The sequence below is a fragment of the Homo sapiens genome, chromosome 19 (genome assembly GCF_000001405.40).
Source record: "Homo sapiens chromosome 19, GRCh38.p14 Primary Assembly".
Taxonomy (NCBI): domain Eukaryota; kingdom Metazoa; phylum Chordata; class Mammalia; order Primates; family Hominidae; genus Homo; species Homo sapiens.
Window position 1 is genome coordinate 50,553,125 of NC_000019.10, and position 16,845 is coordinate 50,569,969.

General features: G+C 58.9%; 1 protein-coding gene across 3 annotated transcripts in view, besides 2 other annotated features; it reads right to left on the reverse strand.

Moving 5' to 3' along the window:
- LRRC4B (leucine rich repeat containing 4B) overlaps nucleotides 1–15,311 on the reverse strand; it is a 51,544-nt gene extending 36,233 nt beyond the window's left edge. For 2 of the 3 annotated variants that reach the window (NM_001080457.2, XM_006723506.4), the window contains exon 1: nucleotides 14,820–15,311. The gene's annotated coding sequence lies outside the window, so the exon portion shown is untranslated. Of the gene's footprint in view, nucleotides 1–3,410; nucleotides 5,111–14,819 lie in introns of those variants that run through there. The other variant, XM_011527520.4, reaches the window with a different exon arrangement.
- Nucleotides 3,138–3,247: a silencer, noted in NCBI's record as "silent region_10972". NCBI's record gives its function as "represses an Ori minimal core promoter by ATAC-STARR-seq in GM12878 lymphoblastoid cells {active_cell/tissue: GM12878}" and the evidence as "EXISTENCE:reporter gene assay evidence [ECO:0000049][PMID:35858748]".
- Nucleotides 3,348–3,407: a silencer, noted in NCBI's record as "silent region_10973". NCBI's record gives its function as "represses an Ori minimal core promoter by ATAC-STARR-seq in GM12878 lymphoblastoid cells {active_cell/tissue: GM12878}" and the evidence as "EXISTENCE:reporter gene assay evidence [ECO:0000049][PMID:35858748]".
- Nucleotides 15,312–16,845: the final 1,534 nt, after the last annotated feature.

Below are 16,845 nucleotides of genomic sequence, written 5' to 3' on the forward strand. Positions count from 1 at the left end.
GAGGATCTTTCTCCCCACGCCCAGGCTACTTCCCTGACCTGGCTCCCATCTCCCTCTTGAACGATTACAGTGTCCTCCCCTCCAGCCTCCCCATTTCTGCCTTCACCCCCACTCCCCGTGCGTTCCCCACGGGCAGCGAGGGGTATCCTGTCAACACCCCATGGACCCTGCCCCGCCTCTGCTCCACAGCCTTCCACAGCTCCCGTCCCACTCAGAGCAGAGATGAGGACTTCAGTTTTCAGGTCTCCACTCTCCACCCCAGCTCCTCCTCTGACCTCATCGCTTCCCTCCTCCCCCTGCTCACTCGCTGTTTCCAGAACAGGCCGTGCACACCCCGGCCCCAGGGCCTTTGCACCTGCTCTTCCCTTTTCCTGGAATGCTCTTTGCCGGTTGTCCACAGGGCTCTTGCCCTGCTCTCTATCAGGTCCGTGCTCCAATGCTACCTTCTCAGTGAGGCCGTCCTGACCGCCCCGCATCAAACAGCACCCCTATCCCTCTCCAGAACCTTCTCTGTTTCCTTTTTCTCCATGACATTTATCAGCATCTGAGCTTTTATATGGGTCCGTGCGCTTGAAGGCAAGTTTCCCGAGGGCAGTCAGTTTGTGACTATTTGGTTCCCAGGACCCACAACAGTGCTGGGCACATGGCAGTTGCTCACCAAACACTGGGTGCAGGGACGGATGGGTACGTTATCATCACTGTGAGTCTATTTCCCCCCACGCTCACACACAGATACCCCCACTCTCCGTTCTGCACACCGAGCCAGGCCGCACTGCAATAGCTGCACAATGCAGGCTCCCAGCCCTGGACACCCTCGGTCCCCAGGTCCCCTTCCATCCCAGGAGGCCTGCTGGCAGAGGCAGCACCTTTTTTTTTTTTTTTTTTTTGAGACAGAGTCTCACTCTGTTGCCCAGGCTGGAGTGCAGTGGCGCGATCTCAGCTCATGGCAACCTCTACCTCCTGGGTTCAAGCAATTCTCCTGCCCCAGCCTCCTGAGTAGCTGAGACTACAGGCGCTCACCACCACCCCGGCTAATTTTTGTATTTTAAGTTAGAATCGGGGGTTTCACCATGTGGGCCAGGCTGGTCTTGAACTCCTGACCTCCAGTGATCCACCTGCCTTGGCCTCCCAAAGTGCTGGGATGACAGGTGTGGGCCACCGTACCTGGCCGAGGAAGCACACATCTCACGTCAGCTGGACACCAATGTCCCGGGTCACCCTCCATGCCCTGGGTCACCCTCCGTGCCCCAGCACCACCCGGATGGCTAAGTCCCAGATACTACACCTCAGGTTCCAAACAGGAGGTCCCCAGCGCAGCTCCGTGCACCCAGAGGAAAGCTACCACTCTGCCCAAACCTCAGATACCACCTGCGTGAGCTACACTCCTGGATACAGCTGCATACTGAGAGGGCACCTGGCCCCAGTTGTCCCCAGATAGAGCCCTCTGACCTGGATAACAGGAATGCTGGCTAACCTCATCTCTTCCGCACACACATCTGACTTGCGTGAACTCACTGAATAATGACACCACCAAAGGTGGTAACGTCCAACACACATCTGGCACTGACTGGGCACCATTCTGGGAGCTTTACTTGCATTAGCCACCGCAGTTCACATCAACCCTCTGAGAGAAGACTGCTATTACACCCAGTTCCCAGCTAGCAAAGCTGAGACACACAGAGGTACTGTTAGTTGCCTAATGCGAAACACACGGCTAGGAAGTGGCCCCTCCTAGGTCAGCCTTGCCAGAGTCCAGGGGCCCCAAAGACCCCCAAGTGTGGCCTGACAGCAGCAACAATTCCCATGGAGGCTGCCTGTGTGTGGGGGGCAGGGTGCAGGCAAGGCCACAGGCATGCTGAACAGCCACCCTTCCTCAGCCCCTGCAGTCACCCGCACTGCACAGGATATCACACGCCCGACACCCCACCACGGCTTCACGCCCGGCTGGCAGAGGCTCCATGGACTGCCCTCTGCCCCCACGCACCCCTAGTAGTGATGGGAAATACTGATTACATGTGGGTGCCATGCTATCCACTCCTCAAGCTGCTGGCTTCTCCCCACGGCCCTGGGAGGAAGGGATGGTTCTTGTGCCCATTTTACAGATTCAGAGGTGAGCGGCACTTGCCAAAGGTTACACAGCCCTCCAGCAGCACAGCCGGCATTGGAACCCCAGTCCCAGAACTTAGCCAGGTCACCACGGTTGCCTCTCCCACCGCAGCTGCCCCGGGAGAGGACCCATCACAAGGGTACACCTGTTCTCCTCCCTCACCTGGTGCAAGGAACAAGCCAGAGGTGCAGACACAGAAGGACCCCAAAGAGGAGAAGTACGAGGGGCAGAGAGTGGCAGAGTCACAGGGAGACAGACACAGGCATACAAAGGGGCATGAAAGGGGCAGGAGGACAGGAGGCCCCGAGATGGAGCTGAGATCCAGGCGAAGGCAGAGGCTGGGAGGGCCCGGGCACTCGAGGCGTGAAGCTGAGTCCTCACCGGCTTCGCCATCCTCCCCAGCCCCAGCTCTGAGAGATCTCGGGCACTGTGCCTGGGAGGATTCAGGCAGATGGCAGATCGGAAACTCGGGGACCCAGGAGAGGCGGGGTGAGGAGAAATGGGAGGCAGGGAACGTTCCTGTCAGGCGCACTCATTTTTTGGGGTGGGGTGGGGGGCTAAATTCAGACGGCCAGAGGGAAGATAGGAAATTGACTACCATTGCAGCAAGAGGCCTGGAGGTTAGAGCTAGAGAAGAACTTCCCCACTGCGAGGGACTGGGGCAGAAGTGGAGCCTGGAGCCCAGAGGGTGGAGAGGGATTGAAGCCGGGGAGGGATGAGCCCTTCTGTCCCTGGAAGCCGGTCCTATGGGAGAGACCCGGGTTCTGGGGGAGGGGACAGGCAGCGCTGGCGTTCTGAGCCAATCCATGTCCTGAATGCTTTCAAAATAAAAGCAGCCCCACAGCGCCGAGAATTGTCAGGCTTCTATGTCTGGAGGTAGAAGAACCTTAGGGAAAGGGCAGTCCAGGCCCCCTAGGAGCTGCTGATGAGGAAGCAGGACTAGGGGCTTGGCTCAGCTCACGAATTTCCCGGGCCACTGGCCACTGGGCAGCAGGACCAACAGGCGGCCCGTGCAGTGGGGGTGCAGTCGGGGTGGGGGTGAGGTGCAGTGGGTGGGGGTGAGGTGGTGACTTGCTTGGAGGGGGGCTGTCCTTTCCCGTGCAGCCACGCCGCTCTCCCCCAGGCTCCTCCCACCCACCAGGCGCCTCCCACCCAGGCTCTTCCCATCCACACCAGACCCGTTCCCCTGAGGGGACTTTGCCCCTGCTGTGCCCTCGGCCAGCCGGGGGTGCTCTTCCTGGGGTCAGGGGGGGCTCTGCGTTCCCACGACACCTCCAGGAGGTCTTCTTTGAGCTCCCCCTACCGTCCGTATCCCTTGCACTTCCTTTTCTTCACAGCTCGTGTCACGGCCACCCAGCACCTGATGCTCGGTGATTTGTTCCTGCGTTCATTGCCTGCCTTCCTGCTAAGAGGGGAGCCCCTGAGGGCTTTGCCGCGGCGTCCACGGCTGCATCCTCAAGGCCGGCCAACGGCGCTGGCCCCTCCGAGCCTCAGTATTTGCTGCAGGAACGAGCGAGCCAGCGCCCCCTACCGGCAGTTCCTCTGCTGGCACCCGAGGCAAGGAGCCCTGGGTCTCTAGGGAGGCAAGTGTGGGGGTGGGGGAGCCGTCCGAGGGCTAAGTGAGAGGGCGGGCACAGGGTGGGCCCCGGAACGTCCAGGAGGGAAGCCGGGAGGAGGGAATGTCGAGCTGTTACAGAGGCCGTGGCAATGGGCCGGGGGCGGGGGGGCCCTCCTTCCTCTCACAACGGGCTGTGACAACAGAGGGGCAGGCTCAGCTCTGGTGGGTGAAGGACCCCTCTGAGTGGACTGGAGCGGCGCGGCTGGAGGCCAGGGAGGAGCTGCGCCAGGGGTCCGGGGGTAGAGGATGAGGCCGCGGCTGGAGCCACGGGGATGGAGAGAAGGGAAAGAGTGAACAGATAAAGCAAATTTGTAAAAGTGGCAGAACCTGGAGGCGGTGTAGGAGGTGAGGGAGAGGGAGGAGCCAGGCTCTTCTTATAGATCTGGGGTCAAATTCCAAAAGCCAGAAGAGGATGTGGGGCGGGAAGCAGTTACGGGGAGAAGAGAATGCAAAAGTCCCTGCCACAGGCCCCCCAGCCCCAATCTCCACTCACAGGCGGTGCCTCGCTCTGGTCACACCCACAGGGCAGCAGGGGAGCTGGGGACACACCGCCCACCCGGCTCCCGTCCAGTCCCTGGCTGTGCCACTTTGGGCCAGCTGCAGCCTCTCTGATGATGCTGCATGGGGCTGTGGCAAGGGGGCCCAAGTAGGGCCTGGCACACAGCAAGTGACCAGCAAGTGACATATAGGACTCGGAGCCTGGCTGGAAGCCAGGAAAAGCAGAAACCTGGGCTCCGACCCCCCGGTGCTGCCAATTTTCCGCTAGGAACAGTACCCTGTGGCCACTCAGTTTCCTCATCAGAGAAATGGGAATTAACAGCAGGTTTCAGAAGAGGGCTGGGAGGGCTGGGTGGGGGGTGGTGGGGACCCAGGAAGGGCTGAGGTGAGCTATTTACCAGCCAGCGGAGGACTACACTTGACCCTTGAAGGACAGGGGTTTGAATCGTGTGGTCCACTTATATGTGGACTTTCTCCTGCCTCTGCCACTCCTGAGACAGCAAGACAACCGCCCCCTCCTCCTGCTCACAGCCTACTCAACGTGAAGACAATCAGGGGAGCCCGTTACGATGATACACTCCACTTAGTGGCTAGTAAATGTATTTTCTCTTCCTTAGCATTTTCTCAATAACATTTTCTTTTCTCTAGCTTACTTTATTGTCAGAATTCAGGATAGAATACATTTAACATGAATGTGTTAACTGACTGTTTATGTTATTGGTAGGGTGTCCAATCAACAGAACACTATTAGGAGTTAAGTTTTAGGGGAGTCAAAAGTTACAGGCAGATTTTCAACTGCACAGGGGGCTGGCACCCCTAGCCCCCAAGTTGGTCAGGGGTCAACTGTATACATACACACACACACACACACACACACACATACACACACACATACATACATACACACACACACATCACACAAATTTCTGCTGGAGTGCAGTGGCGTGATCTCAGCTCACTGCAGCCTCCACCTCCCAGGCCCAGGTGATCCTCCCACCTCAGCCTCCTGAGTAGCCGACTACAGGCGTGGACCACTACACCCGGCTAATTTTTTTGTATTTTTGTAGAGATAAGCTTTTGCCATGTTGCCCAGGCTGGTCTCAAACTCTCGGCCTCAAACAATCCTCCTGCCTCAGCCTCCCAAAGTGCTGGATTATAAGCGTGAGCCACGGCACCCGGCTGTATTTCAATATATCAATGCATCACTGTCAAACAGACTCTCTGCAATGATGCAAATGTTCTCTCCGTGCTGTCCAGCACTGGTGGCCACCAGCCACACGAGGCTACGGAGCACGTGACGTATGTCGAGAAGGAGCAGGGACTGAATTCTTCATTCGACTTGATGTGACTGTTGCTGCTCATGCATGGCAGTGGCTGTGGCAGCTACTGTGTTGGACAGCATGGATCTAACCACTGATCCTGCTTGGAACTGCTTCTGCCTGAGTCCCTGAAGTGCCGCTCCGTCTGCTCCTTGGCCCTGCCCAGCTACCTCACAGGGCTCTTATGGGACTCATGGAGAAGCCAGGGAGATCACAGCTGGAGAAATGGAATGTTATGGAGAGTCTGAGGCCTGAGCACCTGACCAGCGCTGCCTTGGTTGCCTGTGCCAGGCCTGCGCTGCGGGAGCTGCCTGCAAGAGCTCATTCAGTCCCCGCAAGGGGCCCATGGCGAGAGCTGCTGCTGCCCATTTTACAGAAGGGCACACTGAGGCACTGCCATACCCATGGATAGCCAGATTTGGGTAGGCTTTGAGATAAAAACTGAACTTCCAAAAAAAAAGAAAAAGAAAAAGAAAAAGAAAAGAGGGCCGGGGGTGGTGGCTCACGCCTGTAATCCCAGCACTTTGGGAGGCCAAGGTGGGCGGATTACCTGAGGTCAGGAGTTTGAGACCAGCCTGACCAACATGCTGAAATTCCACCTCTACTAAAAATACAAAATTAGCCGTGCCTGGTGGCGGGCGTCCATAATCCCAGCTACTGGGGAGGCTGAGAAAGGGGAATTACTTGAACCGAGGAGGCAGAGGTTGCAGTGAGCTGAGATGGCGCCACTGCACTCCAACCTGGGCAACAGAGCGAGACTCTGTCTGAAAAAAAGGAAAGAAAAAAAACTGAACTTCCAGGTCCCTGGACTGTGATTCTGTGCTGGGATGGGGCGGCTTAACACCCCTGAACTGAATTCACCCCAGAAGAGAACTGGGCCCTGGCCTGGCATTGGTGGTTTTTACAACAGTATTTGTTGCCAAGGCTCAGGCAGTGGGGCGTGAGAGCGAGTTTGCAGGTTGGGAGGGGCGTGGCCCCCGCCAGCTCCACTCATAGGGGTCCTGCCTAGGAAGGACGCTGATCCGATCTGTTTTCTCTCACAGGGTTGTGCATAGTTATTTTGTTTACAACAAAAGGGTGCTGCTAAAAGTCATAAAAAGCTGAAAACTATGTGAACTGGAGCAATGCTTCTCAGACATGAATGTGTGTCCAGCTGTCTGGGAATCTTGTTAAGAGGCAGATTCTGGCCGGGCGCAGTGGCTCACGCCTGTAATCCCAGCACTCTGGGAGGCTGAGGCGGGCAGATCACTTGAGGTCAGGAGTTTTGACACCAGCCTGACCAACATGGTGAAACCCTGTCTCTAATAAAAATACAAAAATTAGCTGGGCGTGGAGGCACCTGCCTGTAGTTCCAGCTACTCGGGAGGCTGAGGCAGGAGAATCACTTGAACCTGGGAGGCGGAGGTTGCAGTGAGCCGAGATCGCACCACTGTACTCCAGCCTCGGTGACAGAGTGAGATTCTGTCTCAAAATAACAATAACAATAACAAAAAACTGCAGATTCTGCATCGCCATATCTAGGGTGAGGCTGTCATTCTGTTTCCCAGGGGATGCAGGTCTCACAGCAAGGGGCTGAAGGGTCTCTAAGTGCCCATCTCACTCCTATATTCCATTTCGGGATGAAGAATGAAGCCCCCTCCTCTCCTCTCCGGAGCTCTGTATAGGGGTGTAGCTCAAGGTGGGCCTTGGAATCAACTAGACCTGGGTTTGAACCTCAGCTGCCACAGTTACTAGCCATGTTGGCTTGCAAAGGGAGCTTCACCCCTCAGGACCTCGGTCTGCTCACCTGTAGGTGGGGAAGGTCTGATATCTGTGATGAGTTTAGGGAAATGCCTGGGGCATAAAAGGAAAATGCTCAGTGAACTTATTCCAGGATCCAGAAGATCCTCCTTCTCCTCGTCTACCTCATCACACCGTCCTGTGAAGAGGAAGGATGGAGAGGTGGAAAGAGTGTTGGTGTTGAGGAAAACTGGGTTGAAACTCTGGCTGGCCACTTTCTCCCTGTGTCCCCCGCCCCAGGCTCCGCCTTGCAGTCTGTGAAGATAATGACACCTATTAATAGCTTGTTGGGGTTCCTGGAGACCATGTACAGTGCTTGACACTTAAGTGACAGCTACATTAAAAGTTATCATTTATTCTCGGCCGGGTGCAGTGGCTCACGCCTGTAATCCCAGCACTTTGGGAGGCCGAGACGGGCGGATCGCTTGAGGTCAGGAGTTCAAGACCAGGCCGGCCAACACAGTGAAACCCCCGTCTCTACTAAAAATACAAAAAATTAGCCAGGCGCTGTGGTGCGTGCCTGTAATCCCAGCTACTCAAGAGGTTGAGACAGGAGAATCGCTTGAACCTGGGAGGTGGAGGTTGCAGTGAGCGAAGATAGCACCACTGCACTCCAGCCTGGGTGACAGAGTGAGACTCCGTCTTAAAAAAACAAAAAACGGTATTTATTCTTACGGGTCAGAAGAACAAACAGTTTTCCCATTCCATGACTCAGCCCCCTCCCCACCCAACCCCGCCACTTCTCTGCCATTGTAAATCCAGCATTTCTGGCTGGATCAAAACCACTCATCTGTCAAGGAGTGGGGGGCCCATGGGATCACATTTGGGGTCTTTGCCCTTCCCGCAACAAGATCCTACAACCCCCACGTCGGTGAGGGCTGATTCTCTACTGTGAGAATCAGCATGGGGAGTCCTTTCCCTTCTGGTGCTTGAGAGGCATAAACAAGATTGAGAACCTGACAGCCCCTAAGTTATAGCAGCTTCAATGCCTTCAAAAGTCTAGACTTGTTGGCCGTGGTGGCTCATGCCTGTAATCCCAGCACTTTGGGAGGCCAAGGCAAGAGGATCGCATGAGCTCAGGAATTCCAGACCAGCCTGGGCAACATAGTGAGAACCCCCTCTCTACAAAAAATACAAAAATTAGCTGGGTGTGGTGGTGCACGCCTGTAATCCCTGCTACTTGGGAGGCTGAGGCGGGAGGATCGCTTGAGCCCAGGAGGTCAAGGCTGCAGTGAGCTGTGGTTGTGCCCCTGCACTTCAGCATGGGTAACGGAGCAAGACCCTGTTCTCCCCCAACTCCAAAAGTCTAACCTTCTATGAGTGTATTGTTATTAACAACCTAATTATTGTGATTATTAACAATTTTATGGCCGAGTGCAGTGGCTCACACCTGTAATCCCAGCACTTTGGGAGGCTGAGGCAGGTGGGTCACTTGAGGTCAGGAATTTGAGACCAGCCTAGCCAACACAGTGAAACGGTGTCTCTACCATAAAATACAAATAAATAAATAAATAAATAAATAAGCCAGGTGTAGTAGTGATGCGTGCCTGTAGTCTCAGCTACTCAGGAGCCTGAGGCAGGAGAATTGCTTGAACCCAGGAGGCAGAGGTTGCAGTGAGCCGAGATCGCGCCACTGCACTCTAGCCTGGGTGACAGAGTGAGACCCTGTCTCAAAAAAAAAAAAAAAAAATTGAATTTCCACTTTTAGGGCCCAATGGACCAGTGCATTCTCCTCTCTTGGCCTCAGTTTCCCCCTCTGTAAACTGGGAGTCTCATGGAGGGAGGCGACCTGCAGGGCGGCCCACACCAGGGTTTGGAGTCCCGGCTCTGCCATTTCTAGGTGTACTATTTTGGGCAAGGGACCCACCTCTCTGGGCCTCAGTTTCCCCATCTGTCAAACCAGGGATGATGACTGTGCCTCCTTGCAGGGTTGCCTGAGGAATACACGGAAAAAATCCACATAAGAGACTGAGCACTGAGCCTGGCTCGTGGCATGCTCTCAATCAGTTAGCTACGATCATGGTCATCTCCAGCTCTGGAGAGAGGGTTTGAGGCAAGGGGAGGGCCAATCTCCTCTGCGTTTACCCCCTGGGGCTGGCCTCTGCAGTGGAGCTGTGGCTGCACAGCCTTCTGACCTTTGTTGTAGTGTTTGAACAAGAACTCTGGGGCCTAAGCTCAACTCCCTGGGCTGGGGCAGCATCTGGGGGGCACAGTGAGCCTGGGAGTGGCTGGGGCTGCTGCCCCCTCCTGCCCTGCCTCACTCTCTTCCTCCTCTCCATCCAGGGTTTTTTTTTTTGTTTTTTTTTTTTTGGCGATGGAGTTTTGCTCTTGTCGTCTAGGCTGGAGTACAATGGGCATGATCTCGGCTCACTGCAACCTCTGCCTCCCGGGTTCAAGCGATTCTCCTGCCTCGGCCCCCTGAGTAGCTGGGATTACAGACTCACACCACCACACCTGGCTGATTTTGTATTTTTGGTAGAGACGGGGTTTCACCATGTTGGCCAGGCTGGTCTCAAACTCCCGACCTCAGGTGATCCACCCGCCTCAGCCTCCCAAAGTGTTGAGACGGCGTGAGCCACCATGCCTGGCCTGTCTCTGTCTAGGTCTCTCAACCTCCCACCAGGATCCCAGATACTACCAGACACCCCCCATTCTCACTCTCAGCAGCCCTCCTGGGGAAACAGCAGTCCCCTGGGCTCCCGCCTGCCTCCCGCAGTGAGCCCCCATCAGCCCCTCTCGTGGGTCTCCAAGGCAGCCCCTCCACCTCTGCCTGCCATGACAACAGTTGCGCGTGGGTTTCCAGGCAACAAGGGGCATCCTGCCACTCTCCTTACTCTCCTGCCACCCCCTGTCTGGCGGAGCCAGCCCAGCCTCAGGAACTGGGACTCGAAGGGAAGGGAGGTTCTCCCCAGTGGGGACAAAGGGTCTCCAAACTCAGAGTTAATGAGGTTTCCCGTACCCCACCAGAGAGGACACAAAGACGTGCCCCCTTCACCCAGCAAGGGTGATGGTGGAGGGGATGCTGCTGGGCTTGAGCGCTGCCAGGCACAGAGGGGAGCCCTGTCCTTTGCACCCCTATCTGGAGGTGAGGCCCTCCCTCCAGAAACAGCGTCCGCATCCCAGGTCCTCTAAGGCAGCCCCTGCTCTCCACCTGCTCTGGGGCCAAATGTGCAGCCTGGTGTACAGAGAAGCCCACCCCCTGCCTACGGGCTGTGATGCCACATGCTGGGGACAAGAGTGTGGGGTCTGTGGCCCACCCCAGCCATCAGCCAGCTGAGAAGGACAGGCTGCAACATGGTGCCTTCACGCAACGCTGACTTTCCAACACTGTGAGGGGCTGGCAGTTTCACAGCAGATCCTGGTCCTGGAGAATGGGCGTGTGCTCTGCGTCCTGGCAGTCTTAAGAACCACTTCTCCCAGAGAAGGATAAGACTCTTCCTGCTCTCGGCAAGGGAAGGAGGCCATTTAAGTGGAAACAGGGCCCAGTCAAAGTGAGGCTTGGAGTTAGGGCAAACTGATGGGGGGATGAAGGAGGAGGGGCAGAGAGAGGACCCGGCAAGGGAAACCAAGGGAAGGAGAGTGGAGAGGGTGACAGGGCACAAAGAGATGGAGCAGAGAGGAAGAGGAGCAAACAGCAGAGGTTGCAAACTCCTCTGTCTATGGAGCCCAGCAGGGAAGATGATCCCGATGCTGGTTAGAGGGGAGAGTGGGGAGTGGTGGCCCTTTGCACCTGAGCACAACCCACAGTTATCCAGGGGGAAGACGATTCCAAAAGCTGACAGTCTAGATTTTTATGCAAAATCTCTAATTTAAAAAATGTTGGCAACAAATTAAACATGTTGAAAGCACTGGGGGAAAATAACCCTCTTGGGCCGCCCGGAGGACCCCAGGTAAGTGAGTCCTCAGGGATGTGGGGAGAGGGAGCCACGGGGAAGGAGCAGGGGAGGCGGGGAGGCAGACAGGCTGGCAGGAACAGCAGCAGAGGTGAGGGCGAGTGACACAGAGGGACAAAGAAGGGAGGCACAGAGAGCGGTGTCGAGCAGAGACAGAAATAGAGGCAGGTTTCACAGCAGATGGGGTGGGAGAGGGAAAGACTGATGAATGAGTCCACAGACTAGACGGATGGGCCAGGTCAGCAAGACATTGGGGGCTGGGAGGGCAAAGGGTCAGTCCCAGGGAAGATGAGGGGAGATGGAGAGGCGAGACGGCTTGACAGAGACAGGAGGTCCAGGTGACACCTCGAGACAGATGCCCGGCCAGAGAGAGTGGGGTGAGAAGGGATGAAATGCAGGGAGAGAGGATGGAGAGAGAGAACCAGTGTGAGCTACACAGCAGGTGTCCTAGCAGGTGAGACAGGTGATTGAGGGGGTGGGGACCCTGGCAAGAAAGCAGGGCCAGGGTTCCGGAAGGGACTGAGGATTCAGCGGCCACCCCCGCCCCCAATCCCCAACCCACAGCACCTCTGCCTGAAGATCGGCCTCTCTGCATGGGCCCTGAGGGTGTGTGTGCAGGCACATGTGTGCACAGGCTCTGCTTGTGAGAGATGCCAGCGCCCTCTGATACCTGATGTCTTAATTCTGCTGACCTCTCGGACGGCGAGGAGGTCCCTGAGGAGCCCCGTGGCGAGAGGAACACTCTCAGGGCTGTCTCTGAGTGGGATTAAGGGTGACTGCTGGATGGGGCTGGCCCTCCCTGCAGTGCACACACGTGCCTCCGACGCTGGCACTCGGTTTGGTGTGTGCGCCACAGTGCACAGCTCTGTGACTGTCTTAGCGGCACCTGGGGCTGCATCTCTGTAGCTCTGGGGCCACCTCCGTGCCTTTTGCCTTGTGTCTGTCCGTAGGCGTGAGGCCACGAGGCCACAGGACCACAAGGCAAGGGCCTCCTGCCTTTGTCTCTCCCTCCAGGTCTGTGTACGAAGGACTGTGTGTGTCTCTGTGTGACACACGACTACAGGTCTGGGGACTGCTCCCTGTCTCTCCTGACCACTGGCTGACTGAGTGTGGGGGCTGCGTCTGCAACTGGGCCTCTCTGGTTCCATATCGGGGTCTCTGGCTGCCAGTGAATGACTGTGTGCTCTCGTGTGTGTGTGTGTGTGTGTGTGTGTGTGTGTGTGTACCTGCCAGGGGAATCTTTGCCTCCACGTGCCCCGTGTCTTCCTCGCACGCTCCCACTCTCTGTCGCTGACTTGCTGACTTGGGGTCCCTCTGACAAGTCAGAAGCGGCCTCTAATCCCCCAGAACTCTGGTGGCCAGTGTCCCCCGGCTCCCTGCTGGCCCCAGCAGGCACCCCGCGGGTCTGTCCCACCCTCCCTGAGTCTGTGGCTCCCTGCGTCTCTGCCTCACCCGCGTGTCTGCTCTCTGGGTGGGAGTGGCGTGTGTCCCCGGCTCCCCGACTCTTTCTTTCGGAAATTAAGTGAGTAACTCCGTGACTCCGTGCTGATGCCCTAATTGCCTGTATGTGTGTTTCGGAGGCTGGGTCCCTTCTCTCCCTCTGTGCCTCCCTCCCTGGCTCCCACTCTTCCCTTCCTTGGGTCTCTCTCCCCGCCTTTCGGCGGCTTCACTCTCTGTCCCTCATTTCTCTGTGTGCGTTTGGACAATCCGGTGGCCAGGAGGAGAGGAGCCCCAGGGAGGAGGAGGAGGAGGAAGGTGGGAAGGCGAAGTGGAGGCTGCGGAAAGGCAGGTTAGAAGGCGAAGGCTGCGGAAGATGCTACAGGAAGAGGGAGGTGCGGTCCTGGCCGCGGTCCGGGGGTGGGGGGCGGGAGTTTTCAGGCTCCTGGACCAGGAGGGAAGCCGGCTCCGGCTACTCCCAGCTGCCTGGAGCCCGAGTTCCTGTCTGGCGGCTGCGCGGCCGGGACTTGGGATGTGAGGCGCATAGCAATGGGGCGCTGCGGAGGCGCCACTGCAGCTCCCAGCTGGAGAGGGGGGCGGGGAGGGGGCCGAGGGGCAGCCCCGAGGCTCCCTTCCCCCTCCCCCTTCCCAGCTGGGCTCTCCCCAGGGGAATTCCCCACCCCGACAGAAAGTCACCAGAGGCTGCGGGGAGGGGGCAGGGAGGAGGGGAGGGCGCCTAGGAGGAGAGCAGAGGTGAGGAGGTCTGGGGAAGGAGATGGGGGTGCAGAGAGGAGGCGAAGGGGTGGAGGGGTGGGCAAGAGGCCATCCTGGGCTCTGGAGACTCGAGTCCTGGAGAGAGACTGGCTGGGCCCCTGGCAGGACAGGACCCCAGGGAGGCAGGGGCATAGAGATGGGGGGAACCCTGAGAGCCCGGGATTGATGGTGAGTTGGAAGGAGAGGCTCCCAAAAGGAGAGAGCTAGGATTGGGGGGGTCTGAGACTGGGGAGTACTATGGGGTGAGGAGACAACGATGGAGGGGGTCTCTGGGTGATGAAAGGTCATAGAAGGATGTTTCAGAGAGTGATGGGCTAAGGAGAAGGCGACTGGGGGTGTTGGGGAGAAAGGGGAGAGGCTGGGGTGCAAGGCCCAAAGAGGGGCGGGGAGGGAGTGGGAGGAGGGAGCTAGAGGAGAGGGCGGCTGAAGTGAGGGTCTCCTGGACAGAAGGTCTGGAGAGGGATATCTGGGGGATTGTCAGAGATGGGGGTTAGAGAAGGCTGAGGAGCAGATGCCGTGTCTTAGAAGGTCCTAGAAGAGCAGGTGTGAGGGTCGGAAGCCTGGGGAGGAGGCAGCAAATGGGGGGCGGGGGTCTCCAGGAGGAGAGGTTTCCAGGAGGGGAGGGCGGAGGGAGGTGGGAGAGGCAGTGGTCCTGGAGAGACACGTGCCCAAGGATAGAAGGCCCCAAAGCCTAGTGGGGTCAGGGAACGGGGGTCTTGGAGAGACGGAGGGGCAGGGGTCCGAGCCGCCCACCAGGAGAGGCGGGGTGACCCCAGAGGGAGAAGGGCTGAAGACTGGGGAGGGGGTTGTCTCACTCCCCAATCACCCCCTCCGTCTTTCCCATTTTCACTTCCCAAACTCCCCGGTTCTCCCCGGTTGCCACGGCAACCGCTCTTGCCAGGCGCGGTCACCAAGGAAACCCCGTGCCCGCCTCTCCCCCCTCCCCATCACTGGCGTGCCCCCCCCACCCCAAGCAGCAGCGGTGTGGAGGGTGGGAGGGGCCATGGGGAGAGGAAGAACCTGGACTCCCGCCCCAGAAAGGGGGGCCCGGACCTACGCCCGGAGAGCCCCCCACCCTAAGCCTACTTCCTCAGCCCCACAGCTGGATACGCAGCGACCGCCGGACGCACCCCCCACAACCTGTCCCCAGGCAGCGGCGACAACCACCCCCCCCACAGCACAGAACTCGCCCTGCCCGGAGAACCCCCACCCAGTCGCCTCCCCCACCGGCTTCTGCCTCCCATTAGGCCCCGCCCCCTGTCCTCTGCCATCCCCCCCCATCCCGGAGGAGGCCTAAGACCACTGTCCCCCAATTAGCGAATGCCCCCCACCCACCCCCCGCGGTTCCGCCTCCGGCCCCCGCCCCCGACCCGTGCCCCTTGGCGGCTACTCACAGCGAGGAGAGGGGTTCCTTCCGGGGGGCAGCATGCCCGGCCCGTGGGGGGAGGACCCCCCCAATGAGGCTCAGGAATTTGGGGTGCAAGGCCCGCTGCGGGGAGGCGCGGGGGGCGGGGCTGCGGCCGGGCCTGGAGCCTCTCGCGCTCTCCCCCCTCCCCGGCTCCTGGGTGGGGAGGGGGCTTCCGCAGCGGCGGCGGTGGGGCTGGGGGGGCCGCTCTGCCTCCTCGCCTCGCGCCCGCCTGCCGTCCGGCCCCGCGCCCTCGCCCGCCGCCCGCCTTCCTTCTTGCCTTCCTTTCTTTCCTTCTTTCTTTCCTGGCTTCCTTCCTTCCAGCCTTCCTTCCTTCCTTCCTCCCTCCTCGGGCCCGCCGGCGCCGCTCTCCCCCCACCCCACCCCCCCCCAGGCCCCGGCCCCGGCCCCGGCCCCCGCCTCGGACGGTGCGGCAGCGACCGAGAGCAGCCGAGAGCGGCGGAGACGGGAGCGGAATACTGATGATGGTGGGAGCGGGCGGGCGGAGGGAGGGAGCAGGGAGGGAGGCCCGGGAGGAGAGGAAGGGGGGAGAGAGGGAGGGGAGGGAGGGCAGCGTGGAGAGGGAGGAAGGAAAGAGGGGGGAAGAACCGGAGAGGATGGGAGAGGGAGGGAAGAAAGGAGAGGGAGACGGGAGGGAAGGGGAAGGGGGGGAGGAAAGAAGAGGGAAGGGGAGGAAAGAAGGAAGGAAGTGGGAAGGGGGTGGAAGAAAGAAGAGGGGGAGAAAAAGGGGAGGAGCAGGGGAGAGAGGAGGGAAAGGGGAGAGGGTGTGGGAGGGGAGGGGAGAGGAGGGGGTAACTCCTGCAATAAGGTCCTGGATGAAGGGGAGGGGAGGGCGGGGGGCAGGGGGAGTGGGTAGAGGAAGAGGAAAGGAGGGAGAGGAGGAGTGGAGGGGGAGATGGGTAGAGAGATGGGCAGGAGAGGCCCAGGGGCAGGGAAGTGAGGGGAAAGAGGAGGTAGGGAAGGCCTAACTTTGAGGGCTGCAGGGGACAGAGGGGCCTGGAGGGCGGCGGGGGCTGTGGGGAGAAGAATGGGGGGTGCGGTGTGCGTTGTCAGGAAGAGCAGGGGAAGCTGGCAGGACCCGGAAGAGGCAGGAGGATCTAAGTGGGACAGAGATGAGAGGATGGAAGAGGGAGGGAAGGACCCGTCGGGGGGAGGGGGGAGGAGAAAGATCTCGGGGGAGAGGAGAGAAGCTGGGGAGCTGGAGCTTTGAGGGCCCAAGACTGGGTGGCAAGAGCCCGGGGAGTAGACAGAGTGGGGGAGGGGACAGAGGGCCTTTCTTGAACTCCGCTGTATGCCCGCTTCGTCCGCCCCTCCACCTCATGAAGAGAAGAACCTTCAAACCCATTTTCCAGAAGAGACCACTGAGCTCTTGGAGGAGCCAGGATGGGGTTTGAATGCAGTCTTGGGCTGGGGGTACCCTGAGGGAGATGGAGAATGGGTCAGTTCCTAGCTTTCGTCCCTGGTCCAGACTTGGCAGGTGGAGGCACCTGGGAGGGGCAGAGGGCACAGCCTGCAGCCTCCCTACTCACTCTCCTCTCACCTCCCCCAGGTGTTGGCAGCGGGTGCTGGGGACGCATTTAGAGCTGTGAAGCTGAGCTGCATCTTGGGTGCAGGGAGGGGGAGGGCAGATGCAGAGGCCTCTGGGAGGTCACCGTGACCCTCCCCTCTACCTCCCCGGTCCACTACCCCAAAAGCTTGGGCCCCAAGGAAGGGGGACATCGGGAATCAGGGGCGGAGAAACCCAGAAGGAGGGGTGGCCCCTGTCCAGGACACTGAAGATCCTTCCAGATGTTAAAATTAGCACAGAAGTTTCACCCCTGCCTTGTTATCCCCCAAAACGCTGACTAATAACTGAGGACTCAGGAGAGAGAGAAGAAAGATGAAGGTTCCTTCTTTCAGTGCCAGGGGACCCGGGACAGACTCTCCCTCTTCCCCTTCTCCTCGGAGAGCCCCAGGGAGGGAAAGTGTGGCTGTACCCCTGCAGGCAGAGCCTG